Source organism: Homo sapiens, chromosome 19, assembly GCF_000001405.40.
Source record: "Homo sapiens chromosome 19, GRCh38.p14 Primary Assembly".
In the NCBI taxonomy this organism is placed as follows: domain Eukaryota; kingdom Metazoa; phylum Chordata; class Mammalia; order Primates; family Hominidae; genus Homo; species Homo sapiens.
Window position 1 is genome coordinate 30222269 of NC_000019.10, and position 14558 is coordinate 30236826.

General features: G+C 52.1%; 1 protein-coding gene across 42 annotated transcripts in view, besides 4 other annotated features; it reads left to right on the top strand.

The window, feature by feature from the left end:
• Positions 247 to 406: a silencer, noted in NCBI's record as "silent region_10475". NCBI's record gives its function as "represses an Ori minimal core promoter by ATAC-STARR-seq in GM12878 lymphoblastoid cells {active_cell/tissue: GM12878}" and the evidence as "EXISTENCE:reporter gene assay evidence [ECO:0000049][PMID:35858748]".
• Positions 839 to 1339: an enhancer, noted in NCBI's record as "H3K4me1 hESC enhancer chr19:30714014-30714514 (GRCh37/hg19 assembly coordinates)". NCBI's record gives its function as "activates a minimal SCP1, AML or CMV promoter by ChIP-STARR-seq in naive H9 embryonic stem cells {active_cell/tissue: H9 hESC(naive)}" and the evidence as "EXISTENCE:reporter gene assay evidence [ECO:0000049][PMID:30033119]".
• Positions 1340 to 1840: an enhancer, noted in NCBI's record as "H3K4me1 hESC enhancer chr19:30714515-30715015 (GRCh37/hg19 assembly coordinates)". NCBI's record gives its function as "activates a minimal SCP1, AML or CMV promoter by ChIP-STARR-seq in naive H9 embryonic stem cells {active_cell/tissue: H9 hESC(naive)}" and the evidence as "EXISTENCE:reporter gene assay evidence [ECO:0000049][PMID:30033119]".
• The window catches only part of ZNF536 (zinc finger protein 536), a 487995-nt gene continuing 476760 nt past the window's right edge, over positions 3324 to 14558 (top strand). For 16 of the 42 annotated variants that reach the window (XM_024451807.2, XM_017027529.2, XM_047439768.1 and 13 more), the window contains exon 1: positions 6242 to 6405. The gene's annotated coding sequence lies outside the window, so the exon portion shown is untranslated. Of the gene's footprint in view, positions 3403 to 4040; positions 4117 to 4419; positions 4609 to 5201; positions 5335 to 5589; positions 5750 to 6241; positions 6406 to 14558 lie in introns of those variants that run through there. The other 26 variants (XM_047439770.1, XM_011527554.3, XM_047439763.1 and 23 more) reach the window with 13 other exon arrangements.
• Positions 5399 to 5788: a silencer, noted in NCBI's record as "silent region_10476". NCBI's record gives its function as "represses an Ori minimal core promoter by ATAC-STARR-seq in GM12878 lymphoblastoid cells {active_cell/tissue: GM12878}" and the evidence as "EXISTENCE:reporter gene assay evidence [ECO:0000049][PMID:35858748]".

A 14558-nucleotide genomic window follows, 5' to 3' on the forward strand; every position in this document is an offset into this window, starting at 1 on the left:
GAGGAAGATGGGGACCCCGAGAAATCCTGGATACGGGGAAAAGCATAGGAGAGCCACAAATTATGAAAGCGGCCACAAAACACCCCTGGTGGGGTGGGGCTGGTGGGTGGGGAGCCAGTGGGGAACTTTTATACTTTAATGAGACGCAGGTAGGCGTCAAGTTTCGGCATCTGGAGGATAAGGGGCCTCTGTCCATTTTCTGGAACCCTCCACCTCCCACTCCCAACAAGGGCCGCGCCGGGAGGTCTCCCCGGGGACCCCCACTCAGCTTGCTCAGGTCCTGGAGGCATGCAGAGGGCGTCGGCGCCGACAGGGGGAGCCGGAGAGCCCCCTGCCCGGCCGTCTGCGGGGCTCAGGCGGGGCTTGGCCTCCGATGAGCGCGCTGTCTCTGCCCGGTGGGTCCCACCCCGCCCGGCCACGCAAAGCCGTGGCAGCCCCCTCGCGGCAGCGCGCCCCAGGCGAAGCACCCCGGGCCACCGGGAGCGCGGCCCTCCCGAGACGCACGGGCTCCGAGGCCGCAGAAGCCTTGGGCCTCCAGGCCTGGAAGGGGCTCCCCTGGCCTGGAGGCCATGGGCCCGGCCCAGACCGGCCAGACACCGCCAGGGACCCCCAGAACGACGCCAGGACGCGCGCCGGGCTCCGTGCCTCCCACGGCCCAGGCGAGGCCGGCGGCTCGAGGGTTAAAAGGCGACCCCCATTCTGTAGGGGAGAAAGTGCCTTTTCTCCAAGTCCATATGGTCACTTCCTTTCGACCTGCTCGGCCCTGCTCGCCTCTTTGTCCGCTCTGTCACTTATAAAGAATCACTTGACTTACAATAACAGGTTCAAAAGACGACGGAGTATAATCAGTTGATCCACGAAGAATTGGAATAAAGAACACCCCACCGCTCAGGCTATCATTCCCATAGAGATAGTGATATCATTCATGTGATTGCGATGCTAATTTCTATACAAGAAAAAAAAAACCCTTGTATTTTGGTATTTGTTCAAAGAGAATTTCAGACACATCAGATTGGAAAATGTGGGCTGAATTCCTAAACTTTTTTGGGTAGGCAGAGAATTTTTTAAAAACACCACTGCAGAGATTTGAGCGGATTTTAAGAATCTCCTGGAACTAGCTTGTTGGAGGAAAGTGATTATTTCCTCACTCCTCCAGTGCACTCCTGGCGAGAGAGAGAGAGAGAGAGAGAGAGAGAGAGAGAAGAGAGAGAGAGAGAGAGGGAGAGAGAGCAGCAGCAAGGAGCGCTGGGTTCTCAGGGCAGGGTCCGAGGATGCTGGCAGCGGCAAGGCCCGGTGCCCGCCGACGGCGCGCCTGGGGAGAGGACCACCGGCGGTGAGGGCCCAGGCCCAGCGCCCAGGGCAGCTGCGACGCGTCCGTCTCCAACGCCGGCACGCTAACCCAGCGCTCCTCCCAGCGCAAAGTTTTCTGTGTCTCTCCCCTCACTCTTGGACTGGTTGCTTGCCACCGAATGACTCCTTCAGCTGGAGAGGGGTGGTGATGGGGAGGCTGTGGCATGCCTTTTCTGTATCTTTGCTTTTGATGTCTTGTGATGCCCGGGTTTAAAACCCGTCAGTCATCTTGGGGGAGCTCAGTTCGGGCAGGCTGGAGCAAGTCTTACCTGAATCAATGTTTTAAGTGCCCCTGTGGCTTGGCGTTTTGAATAATCAATCTGTCTCCATCACTTCTTAATCATGCGCAACACAGGCCTCTCTCTCTCTTTCTCTCCCCCCACCTCGCTCTCCCTCCCTGTATCCTTTTTTTTTTTTTTTTTGTCAACTCTTTTGGATCCTGTCTCTTTGCTATTAACATGCCCAGTGTCACATGCGAGGCTTTTCTTTAAAACAAGCCCCTCATTGGTGTATCTGGATACTTCTTTTATTATTATTATTACTGAATCTTTTTTCCCATAATGACACCAGGATCATTATATAATCCCATAACAAAGAGGCTTTTTGAGGCACCAGCTTTTGTCAACTCTAGGACAGAGAATCCATAATTGCATTATCCAGCTTTTTCCTCCTTCTTCCCCCCTCCTAGCTTCCCAGAAAACCAACCTCATGCCCCACTCACACCCCCACCTTGTTACTTCTGCTTATATTATTTACCGAAACGTTTGCCCAGAGGACCCGCCTTGCAAAGTTGCCTTAAAAAAGTTATTTTGTTTGATAATTAAGTCCTGGAGCCCATCGCATGATGATTATTCTACACCCATAAGGCAGAGAACCTGCGTGACGTTTTTCTCGAAGTTTAATTACCGTATGCTAATTTCCTTGCCTACTACGTGATTAATTAAAATCATATTTTCATAATCATTTGGCACTAGTATTGTTTTAGAATTATCATGATCTCCTAAATAGTGTCTGTAAATAAAGTCGCCTCTAATGGCAGGCGCGGGAGGCGAGGCTGAGGACCTCTCCGCGTTTGTATCGCGGCGATTGGCAACATAACTGCCTTATTTACATTAAATACGCCACAAGGTTACAGCGCGGATCAACGTCATTTGATCGCTGATGACTCCCTTAAACGCCCGGGCTGTGACTGATTCTTCGCGTCCCGCTGTCCACCGAGATTCACCCGGGAGTTTTTTTTTTTTTTTTTTTTTTTCCTCCCAGAAAAGAAACAGACTTTAAATAGTTTCAGGAGCAGGTAAGAATTACGCTTTTTCCTCGCCCCTTCTCCGTCTCTCTCTCCTCTCTCTCCGTGGCAGTCTCTCTCTCCCTCTCGGCTGGATAAAAAATTCTTTAGTCAAAGGCAGGAATGCAAAGTAGTGACAAGGAAGGGGCTGATATATGTCTCAGTAACGAGTCTGACAATCAGAATGTAGCTCTTGGAGAATAGATAGATTTTAATAAGTGTGTTTACATGAGCTCAAGGTCAGAACCAAGCTGCGCTGTGTTAAATGGTTTCTTAGTTGCTAGACAGAGAGAAAAAATGGACGATCACACACCATTCTTTGTAGATTATTATATCAAGGGTTCAGTCTCTGGCTCATCAAAGCTAAATGCCGCAAGACCTATCTAGTTGCTGTGAATTATGCCAGGGCGACAATGGAGAGCGTTTTTAATGGTACAATGCATTTCACCTACCAGATAGGGGGAGGCCGAGCCGGGGATGGGGATGTCTGCTGGGGCTGGGTGATGAGTATCAATGAACGGGGCGATTCTGAAAAGAGGCTGATGAAAATCGAGCCCGCCCTGCCCCGGCTGGGCTGGGAACAGTTCGCAGGGCTCTGCCGAGTGGGCGAGTGAGGCGCGCGAGCAGGGCGCCCGTCCCCCCTCAGCCCCGGAAAATGATCAAGTCAATCGTGTGGGCATGTTTCATTATTCATTGAACACAATCTTTTACAACGCTCCGTTTACGTGCCCGAGTTTGCTCCTGACGCCCGCGTTTCAATGTTTAAGGTAAGGAAAACAAAGGTGGGGGGGGGATCGCGGGGCGCGGCGCGGTGCGGGGGGCGCGGCGCGGGGGGGCGGCGGCGGGTGGGGGGGCAGCTTCGGCGTCCGGGAGGTGGCAAAGTGAGTTTGGACTCTTGGCGCGGCCCCCCCGTCCCCTCCCCCTCCCCATCTCGGCGAGGCCTGCCGCCCGGTTCCTTCTCGCCCCATCGCGATTAAAAAATACGGTCTAATTAAATATCCGTGGCTGTGACGTTGGCGAGAGAAGCTGTCAGCGGGTGGGGGGTGGGGGGAAAGAAGAGGAAAACCGAGCCGGCGGCTGCGGCCGGGCATCGTATGGCGCTAGAGAACTTCGGCGGCGAGCGGGACCTGCGCCTGGGCCGCCGCCTCCCCGCCCGCGGTCCCGGGACCGTTACTTTGAAAAGGAGTCCCGAGGCCTGGCGCCCGGCGCGCGATCGGGACCCCGCGTCCAGCTCCGGGGACCCGGCCGGCGCCCCCCACCCGCGAGCGGCCCGCGAGCCACTCTCAGGCCCCGGGAAACTTTCAAGAGGGTCTGGGGGGTGGGGGGAGTAAAAAGGGGAGGGGGTAGGCTGGGGCCGCGGAAACTTCTGCTCAAGTGACTTTCCCCATTTTCTCCTCTGCCTGGGACGGGGGTTCGCCTTGCGCTCTTTCTCTGGTCCGCGCTCACTGCGGGGTTCCGGCCCCTCCGCCCGTGGAGAGAGGGTAATTTGCAACCTTTTTTTTTTTTCAATTAAAGTTAGCTGATGCTTACAATGTGTCAAACTTGCGGGCGCCGAGAGCCGCTGAGATCTGCCATTTTGTGATTGCATCGGCCTCCTGTGCCCCGGGAGCCTGGCCAGGCTGAGGCCGGAGAGTTGGTTTCAGGGCTGAGGTGCCAGGGTCCGAACCCGCGACCCCAGGAAAGGCCGTGGCGCCTGCAAGCGCAGGCGGCGCCCGCAGCACCTGCCCCAGCCGGGCCTCGGCCTGGGGGCCCAGCCGGGGGCCAAAGAGGAAATAAATAAATAAATAAGTAACAGGTTATGGAGGGAAAAGAGCCGGCCAGTCCCAGGCTGGAGAAATGAGGCCAATCAGAGCGAGGAAGTGCGGGCGTGGGGGCTCTGGAAGGCAGAGGAGAGGCAGGGCTTGCGCGGCGTCTGGGAAGAGTGCAATCTGGGGGGACGCCTCCCGTCCCCCCAGCGCAGATGCATGACTGGGGTAGGAATGATCTTTGCTGATAAGCCTTTTTCTGTTTGCTTCAAGACATTATTTTTCGAAGATGAATTGAGGAAAACAGTCGTAGGCGAGACTCGGGGTGTATTTTAGGCAAAAAAAAAAAAGTTAGGGTTGGGGGAGAGCTTTCCTTTGATGAGTAGGAAAGTGTCCAGATCTCGACGCGCCCATCTGTTGCAGTTTTGCAAATAATTTAAAATATAGATATCTCCATATAGACGGATGTATGTGAAGTGGAGGAAGGTCGAAACGCGGGGAAGTTAGGGAAAAAGAAAGAAAAAGGGCTGGGCAGAGAGAGACCTGTGTTGCTCACTCTTCACTCTGCGGAGTGAACTCCGGCAGGGCTTTCTTTGGGGACAGGTGGAAAGTTAAGTCCCCCCCTTTTCACTTCTGTATTGTGAGTGGTTCCTACTGTGTGCCTGTTGGAGAACATGTCCACCGTTCCCGAGTTAGGTGGAGGATTGGAATGTTGGGGGGCGGGGAGCGTTGGAGTTGAGGACGCAGTGGCCAGGGGCTGGGGGCCGAGAAAGAGCAGGGCGGGGTCTCAGCCCCGCGTGCGGGTGGCAGCGGCGGCCGGGTTTTGTTTGCCAGATATTGTTATGTCTAACGGGTGCCTCGCCGGAGACGTGATTTGTCAGCCGCCTTCGTTTTCACTTTAGCAGAAAATACGGCAGCTGCGAGGTGTCCCGGCCTGCGGGGCTCGGGCACCCGGTGCGTCCTGGGGGCTGGGTCGTGTGCGCGGGTGGGAGCCGGCGGCCGGCGGGGCCGGGGCGAGGGGCGAGCGGGAGGGGCGGAGTGAGCGAGCGCGCGGTACGGCCCTCCGGTTCCTCCTGCGCCTTCTCCCGGCAGCCGCCGCCGCCGCCGCCGCCGCTGTGCAATTTAGCAGAAATCCGACAGGGGCCGCGTTTGCTGAGCGCATCCGGCGGCCGGGCAGCCCGAGCGGGCCGCCGGGCCTGGTCGGCCGGTGTAGAGGCGCGGAGGGGGCCGGCGGAGGGGACCGGCGGGGATGGGCGCGGGAAGCACGCCTGACCAGAGCACGCGCCGTTCCCCAACCCTGGTGTCCCCGGCGAGTTGGGCAGCCCCGCGCGCCCTGACCTTGACGCCCCAGTCTCCAGCCAGGGCTTAGGTGAACTTGGGGTGGGGTGTGCGTGCGTGCGTGTGTATGTGCGTGCGTGTGTGTGTGTGGAAGGGGTGGTGAGACTGGGAACGCGCTGTTTTCTTTCCCAGTTTGATACTAGCAACTGGATTTTTACTTTAAGACCGGCTTTGCTCTCTGCTGGGGTTGGGAGGGGGGGCGATCTTTTCCCATCACTCACATCTTTGTTCATTGTTCACTGAGTGGAAGGCAGGCGACTTAAAGAGACGAAAGAGAGGAAAAAGGGGTGAGAGACGGAGAGAGGAAAAAGAGGGGGGCGGCCAGAAGAGGGAAGGAGAGGCGTGGGGACAGGGCCCCCGCCCCCGCCGGGGTCGGGTTTGATGGTGAAATAGTAAACCCACGCACGGAGGGTCGCCAGGAAAGTGGACATTACCGCTTTAATTAACTTCGAGATGCTCCGGCGGCGGGACCTGGCGTAGCCGTGACGCGCCCCCATAAATCTGCCCGGCCCGGGGCTGCTCCGAGAACTCGTACAGTAGCGGCGTCAGATCCATCCCGCGCCTCCCAGTCCGGAGTCCATTTGCATAATTGGATTTTTTTTTTTTGCCTCCTTCTTTCTCCCTGAAACTTGTTTGAAAACCCAAGTGAAAACCGCGACGATCTGCACACTCAAAAGCAAGTGCCAAGTAAGTGCCCTGCGGTGGCCTCGGCGCGCCCCGGGGTGAGCGCGCAAAGCCGGGAGCGAGGTGCCGCGAGCTGCGCGCCGCCCCGGGCCGGCCTCGCGTGTGGGCGGCTGGGCGGCTGGGCGGCGGGAGGACGGCCTCCGCGGGCTCCGGGACTGCCCGGCTGGCTGCTCGCACAACTTTTTTTTTTTCCCCCGTCTGCTGACTTTTCGGGCCAGGTGAAGTGTTTGGGCCACGCGTGTACCTGTGGCGAGACTCGGGAGGCGATCTTGGGGGGCGCGCGGTCGCAGTTGGGCATCTTGCCTGGGTCGGGGGCGGGCAGTCGGTCCCAGTGGCCGCCGCTGAGGGCAGAGCTGCGAGCGAGCGGGGCCGGCTGCTGGTCGCGCCGCGCCGTAAATGCAAGCCTGTAGCCAAATGCTTCCCCCATTATTCTAAGGTTTGTGTCTGCGTGTGCGTGTATGTATGTGTGTGTTTGCGCTGTGCTTTTAAACAGAAAGAAAAGCAACCAAAACAAGAGCAGGAAGGGCTTTTTCCTTAGCTCGTCCCCCTTCCCCCAGCATCATTTATTTCTTTTGCTTGAAGGAGAGTGCAGACCTTCTTTGCTAAAGACAGGGTCACCGAGAGATTGACAATTCTGTTGGAAATGCCATCAATCCTATAGCGAAAATGTAGCTGCATTTATAAAATACCAACCCTTGCCTGATAAGGAAAGTGGTTTCACAGTGTCTCAAATTTTATTGAAAATATGTAATATTATTATAATGATTATTTACAGCGTTCAGAACCCAGGGGAAAAGTCGATTTGCTTGGGGGAAGACTAGAACCCTAGTTCTTGTTTGCCGGCCAGCCTGGGAACTTGCCTGGGGCTGCGCCCACCACCCTGAAAGCTGCTGCGGGTGGTGGGGGGGGCTCAGCTTTCAGTCCAGGGAGTCGCAGGGGGTCGCCCCTGCAGCCCTCTGGCCTCTGCTCGGGGAGAGCCCAGGGCTTCTGGCTGAAGGCTGCTTTAGTTATGATGTCATTCTGATAGCGGAGTGCAAATGTCTCCTGATTCCACCATTAACCGCCTGGCTGATTTGCTTGGTAATGATAGCACTGACGTCCTGCTCCCTGACAAATGCAGAACCGCCGAGCCCTAGGAATTAACTTTTCCCCCCACTGAGGAGAAACCCGGCTGCCAGAAGTCTCAGCACTGGGCCTCTGCCTGTGGACTTTGTCTGCCTCAGTCCCAGACACTGACATACATGACAGGCCCCTGGGCTGAGGGACCCGTTTTCCCAAAGTTTAGAAAACTTTTAAGACTTTCATTTCCAGAAGACCCTTAATCTGGTCAAACTTAAGTGCGATTGTGACCAGGCAGAGATATTTGCATGTGACCAATGGCAGGGACTCTGAGACCATTGCATGGAAGACTTGCCTCCTACCTTCAGCCCCTTAACTGTGTCTTCATGTTAATATCACTGCAAGTCAGCCGGATTTAGTGTTGATTTTTAACTAGTGTACAATGATTTAAGATTTCTTTTGATTTACTGTTCAAATGAAATTTACATAAATGTGATGAAAATGAACTTAACATCTGGGCATATGAAAAAAGGTTAGTACCTCATATGTCATCTGCAGGGAAAGTCTCTAAAATGCTTTCACCCTAAACTGGGTTTGGGGAAACAGTTCCTGGAGACATAAATGGTAATTATGGAGAACCTGGAGAAAACACTTTCAATAAATTTGCATTCTTTTGGACTAGAGCTCTGAAAGCCCATCTTGTTCTGTGCCTGGAGTGGTTAACTTCTGAGCAGGCTGGAGATCTTCGCAACTCAGCAACTTAACTGCTGGCCGGGCTGTCTTCACGGAAGACTTAGGGCAGGCAGGGAGCGACAGTCACGCTGTTCTGGTCCAAGTCAGAGGCCAATAACCCCCATTATGGGAGAGGACAGAGAGGCAGCTAGAAGGTGCCGCCCGACTTCCCACAGTTGCCCATAGGGTACTGAAGGCAGTGCTGAGATGTGGAATCATTGCCCACTGAACCCCAAAGAGCTGAATGATTAGGTTTGTTTGCTTTGCCTTAGGTAACCAAAGAAATTTCCATCAGCTCCACGAGCCCATTCAAGTGAACTCTGAACTCCATCTTACTTTTGAGCAAGAGAAGCTTATCTCTGGCATCAGGAAATCAGAATTAAACAGCCTTCCCCAAATGTGGTTGCCTTTTGCTCAAAAGTTGGCTGTGAATGGCACAGGTGTTTTTAAAGTGCCTTGAATGGAGGGGGAAGAAAGACAGCAATGATACTCATGAGAATATAGATGAACTTTTTTTTTTTTTTTATAAGAAGAGTATCATAAAAGAAGAAAGCAAATAGATTTATTTTTCCAGGCTGAATGAGGACAATTATAGCTTTTTAACATCTTTGGATTTAGTGTTTTTAATAAGCCTTTTAAGTAAGCTGAAATATCAGCTTGCATTTTGTTCTCAACATTATTTAAAGTGAGACTTGATGCAAATTTAAAAACAAGTGAGTTTTCTGCAGGTCAACATTTGTCCATATGAAGGAGAGAAGCCTCTTCCATGGCCTGTCTGCCAGGACCTAGGGCAGGCCAGTGCTCAGCCCTGCCTCAGCCTATCTCCAAGTGAGGCCTTAGATTTCGGCTGGAAGGACAGGGGTGGTCAGGTGGCATCTCTCAGGCTGTGAAGGCTGGATTTTGGAATCTAAAAGCAGGGCACAAACTCGCTTGCATTGCTACTAGTGGGGCCTTGTGAGTGGAGGGGCTTCCTCTGAACTCACACCTGCTGTGCACACTGGCACCTTCTCCAGAATGTGCCAGGGCAGGGTCTGGGCTGAGGCTGTGGAGGAGTTGGAGGGAAGGGAGCAGGGCCAATGGGGAGGAGTGGGAGGGAGGTCTCTGTCTGCCTGGTTGGGCTCACCTGTGTGCTTCATGTGGTACCTGCTCGGGAGTTGGAAGGGAGGCCTTTTGCCAAGGAGAGGGATTGGTTGTTCAGGTCTAGACTCTTCAGGCTGCCGTGATGGTCCCCTTGGTGGCATTGAACGTCCTTAGAGGAGTGAGCAGATAATGTGTGTGGTCAGAATGCGCTAAGCCAGGGAGTGGCCCCCTAGGTTGTGCTGGTGATGGTGGTGGTGGTGATGTGTGTGTGTGTGTGTGTCTGTCTGTCTGTGTGTGCTGGGGAAGGGTGCTGCCTGTTAGAAATACTTGTTCTGAGATGATTTCCTTTTCATCCACAATTGTACTATCCAGGATAGACTGGTGAGTTTGTAATGTACATGTGTGTTGGAGGGGTTGGGGTGGAAATAAATGAAGAAATCAGGAAATACAAAAGAAAATGCATCTTCAGAATAGAGATGCTAGGAAACACAGTCCAGTTTTCTGAAATCCCCCTCACTTTTTTTTTTTCCCAAAAGAAGGCAAACATGGATGGAAGCCCCCTCAGGAAGGTGGGCTGTGCGGGAAGCCATCTGGCCCACCTGGGGTGGGCGTGGGGGCCTCCCCCGGCCAGTTGATGCCATCAACGGGCTCCTGTTGACTGTGCCTGGTGATAAGGGCTGCTGTGGCTGCTTCTGCTGGCTCCCTGAGAGTCTCCTCTCAGCTTCTGATTTTTAAAAAATAATTTTTCAACTTTTATTTTAGCTTCAGGGGGTACATGTGCAGGGTTGCTATATGGGTACATTGTGTGATGCTGAGGTCTGGGGTACAATGCATCCCGTCACCCAGGTAGTGAGCATGGCACCCAGTAGTTTCTCAGCCCTTCTGCCCCGCCTTTCTCCCCCCTCTAGTGTCCCCCAGTATCCATTGTTGCCATCTTTATATTAATGTGTACCCAATCTTTAGCTTCCACTTATACATGAGAACATGCTGTATTTGGTTTTCTGTTCCTGCGTTAATTCGCTTAGGATAATGAGCTTTCACTTTTAAAAATCACTGTAGATCTCTGGTCTTTCTCTTACAGTGGAGTTTTTGCTACTATAAGCAGCATCAAGCACTTGGCTTTTCACATGCTCTGAGCTTGCTCGAGGTGGGGTTTATTTTCCCTAAGAGACAAGATTCAGATGAGAGTGAGGTTTGGGTGGAACTTAACAGATGAACCTGGGCATCATTTCTCCAGCTCAGGGCACTCGTGGGAGTCCGTGCTGTGCGTTGTAGGATGTTTGGGAGCGTCCCCAGCTTCTACCCCACTAGATGCCAGTAGCACCCCCCAGCTATGATAATCAAAAATGTCTCCAGACATTTCTATATCTCCCTTGGGGAGAATCAAGCTTATTTCCCACACTTTATGCGCTGGGCCTTGTCTTGGGCCTCTTCAGGGGGGTGGAAGGTCAGCTGTGGTCCTACCTTTGGGGACTGCACAAGCTGGTGGGGAGACAGACAAATCCCAGTGCCCTGTAAGTCCAGGGGGTTGGACTGTGCACTAAACAGGGGAAGACCCATGGGGTCTGAGAGGGCAGAGAACTTCCACATGGATGAATTGTATCTGAGCAAAGGCATGGGGCCCAGCTCTGACTGCTTAGAGGTCAATTGCACATGGAGGTGGTGTCGGGGGTTGGGGCGGGGGGAGAACCCCATCCCTGGCCCCTGACTGTGACATGCAAACTAAGCAGTGGAAAGCATAGTTCTTAGGCTCTGAGTGAGTTGAGGCTGGGCACTTTGCTGGCAGGATAATGATACCTTTTTTTTTTTTTTTAACTTTAAGAGATGGAGCCTTGCTCTGTCATCCAGGCTGAAGTGCAGTGGTGCAATCACGGCTCACTGTAGCCTCGTCCTGGGTTCAAGAGATCCTCCCACTTTAGCCTCCTGAGTAGCTGGGACTACAGGTACATACCACCACACCTAGGTAGTTTTTAACATTTTTTTTTTTTTAGAGATGGGGTCTTGCTATGTTGCCCAGGCTGGTTGCAAACCCCTGGCCTCAGGCAGTCCTCCCACCTCAGCCTACCAAAGTGTTGGGATTACAGGCATGAGGCAGTGCACCTGGCTGTCCATTTTTGAGTATTTGCTATGTGTAAGGCACAGCTCCTAGTGCTTTACACCTTCCTTATGATGCAGGTACTATATATGTCCAGAATTCAGGAAGGAAAACTGAGGCAATGGGAGGGGTAGGTGGTGGGTCTAGGATTAGACCCATCCTTTATGCCTCTGGAGTTGGCATGCTTAGCTCATCTACTGCTGCAAAGCATCTCCCGTGACCCACGTTCAGCTGCCCTTTCTGGGGCCAGATTTACAGCAGGACCTCTGTGATTTGCTCCTGATTCTCAAAGCTCATCCACCACACCCTGACACCAGGCTTGGGGGCTGGTAGGGCCAAAGCAAGCACTCTTTGGGGTGGACCAAAGCCTCCAGGTAGGTGGTGGCAGGAAGGCAATGTTGATGCTTCAAATGCATGAAGAGATGCAGGAAGGAAAGTCAGTCTATAAGGTTCCCCCTTTCCTCTACCTACTATTCTTAGTCTATGGCTTTCCAATGAGAAAATTAAGTGCTGTTATGACACAGGAGAAATGATCACCGTAGGCTTGAGCTGACATTAACCTGAAAGTTTTCTATCTAGGCATTACAGCTTTGATTACCTGAGCTGTGTTCAGTTGGGTCTTTGATTACCTAGGTGGGCCTGGCTCCTGGGGAGTATATTTCTGGCCCCCTACCTCCTTGCTGGCTCTTCAGCTGGATGCTGGGAGGCCACCTCTCCACTGCTGACTCTATTTGTCTATTTGGGACCACTAGGCTCCTTCCTTTTTTTTTTTTTTTTTTTTTTTGAGACAGAGTCTTACTCTGTCCCCAGGCTGGAGTGCAGTGGTGCAATCTTGGCTCACTGCAACCTCTGCCTCCCAGGTTCAAGGGGTCCTCCCGCCTCAGCCTCTCAAGTTGCTGGGATTACAAGCATGTGCCACCACACCTGGCTAATTTTTGTGTTTTTAGTAGAGACAGGGTTTCACCATGTTAGCCAGGCTGGTCTCAAACTCCTGACCTCAGGTGATCCACCTGCCTCAGCCTCCCAAAGTGCTAGGATTAAAGGCATGAGCCAATGTGCCTGGCCTCCTTTACATTTTTTAGGCTTTTTGTTGCTTTATTACTAAATTACACACACACACACACACACACACACACACGCGCACACGCACCCCACACCACGAAGTAGCTTTACTTAGGTTGTGAAAGCCCACCTAAAATCGAGATTAATCACAGAAATGCCCATTCAGCCTTAATTATAATGATGGTCTGGCTTGCATTTCTGAGATTCCCTCATAATTCCCATAAATTTGAAGGAGAGTTTGGTTCATGCAAGTACCAGATCGTAGGACCCTCGGGAGGTGGTATTAATTCAGCAGACATTCCTGCTTGTGGTTTCCAGGTACAGGAGGAAGGGAAGGTTTGGGGCTCTTCGGTGTAGGTATGGAGAGGTGGCCACAACATTGACACCTGCAGTGGCCACTATTGGGTGGTGACCCCATGCCAGGCACTACATTACACACCCCGGGTGCATTATCTTGCTTAGTTCTTTTAATGCCCCAGGGAAGGGCCTCCCTTGGGGCAGCTTCCGCAGTGGGCAAACTGAGGGGTGTAGGAACTTGTTGCTGCCCATGCCTGTGGCATGGCCGAGCGGGCATTGGAAGCCAGCTGCATTGGCCCAGGAGGCGCGTGTCTCAGCCTTGTTTGCACTCCTGCCTCCCTAAACTGTCCTTAGCACTGAGAACAAAATCATCCTTCTGAATAATGTTAACCCGCCTTGAAAAGGAAAGTTAAAAATGTCAACCGGAACTTGCTACTTTGAGAACATATACATTGTTGTGAATTTGTTATTAAGAGGGAGAAAATATTTGGAAATGCTATGTCAGCTAACAAGTAACTATAGAGACAGCAAACAGATCACAGCCCACATAGATATTACATATAAAATTTAATCTCTTTGAATAGCTTGATATTTAATTTTATCTTCTGAAATATCTAGAAACACTTATCCCTTATTGACTAGAGAAAAAAAGTAGCTTACACAATTTTTGTGTGTGGTTATTTTCCCAAAATTTTAATTCCCGATTAAAATCTATTTAAATCAAATCAGGCAATGTCTTCCAAATTATTATGGAAAGGCCGTCATTTATATGAAGCCTATTGAAGGGGCTGGGAAGTCTTACTGCAATTAGAGCTAAAGTGCTTTAATTATTTTGCTTCCCCGGCCAGGGCCCCCAGTTTTGGGGTTGTAATCTGTTGATGCCAAGTGGCTATTTCAGCAGCCTTAAATCTGCACCGAGCAGAGAGCGTCTCACGGATAGAACATGGCTGGATCTGTTCATTAAACTCAGTGCATGGATTCCACAGCATCAGAGAAACTTTATTCCCCAACGTTTCCACCCGAAAGAGGGTCAATGCTGGTGGGTGGGCAGTCCCCCTCCAACAGCCCAAGAAGAGTTCAAAAGGTGGAAAAGTGGTAGTGTGGGAATGCGAGGAGGAAGAAAAGCGGCCACATGCCGGCATGAAAGGATTTAATCTGCGCAGCCGAAACCTCCTCTGATAGTGGAGGGCTTGCTTCTGTGCTGGTCTTGGCAAAGCCACTCTCTCACTGAGTCCTGCCGCCGCCGGGTACTGAGGACTTGCATGTAGCTGGGAACAGTCTGAAGCCACAGCCTGCCTGGAGCTCTCATGGACATTGCATGCACCATTTCTTAAGCAAAAAGCCAGACACTCCATCTGCAATTCTTTTTAGAGATCATTGGTTTGACAACTTCATATTTATTTTCCGTGTGATTTTTGTTTTGTTTTGTTTCAGCCCCCCCACCCCACCCATTTCCTTCTTTTTGGCTTTTTCACCCTGTGTGTACACATTCATCCTGAAAGTATTTTGAAAAAGCTTTTGTTAAAGTTGGGGCGGGGGGGGGGTACAATTGGAATTTTAGTTCCATTTAAAATTTCCATCTATTTTGAAGGCAGAAGAAGTACAGACAAGATAACATGAACATTTCCATCATCTAAAAATGGATTAAGGCTGCAAGGTAGCAATTTTCCCCTTTAATAACTACTGCCACCCCAAGAAGACACAGTGGCTTTCTTAGTAGGTGACAAACGATTAGCTCAGCCAGGGTCTGGTCATCTGGTTGGCATTCCCCATGACAGTGCCCTGGGATGTAACGGATGGTGATATGGCTTGTCCTTTGGAGGGGGGTGGT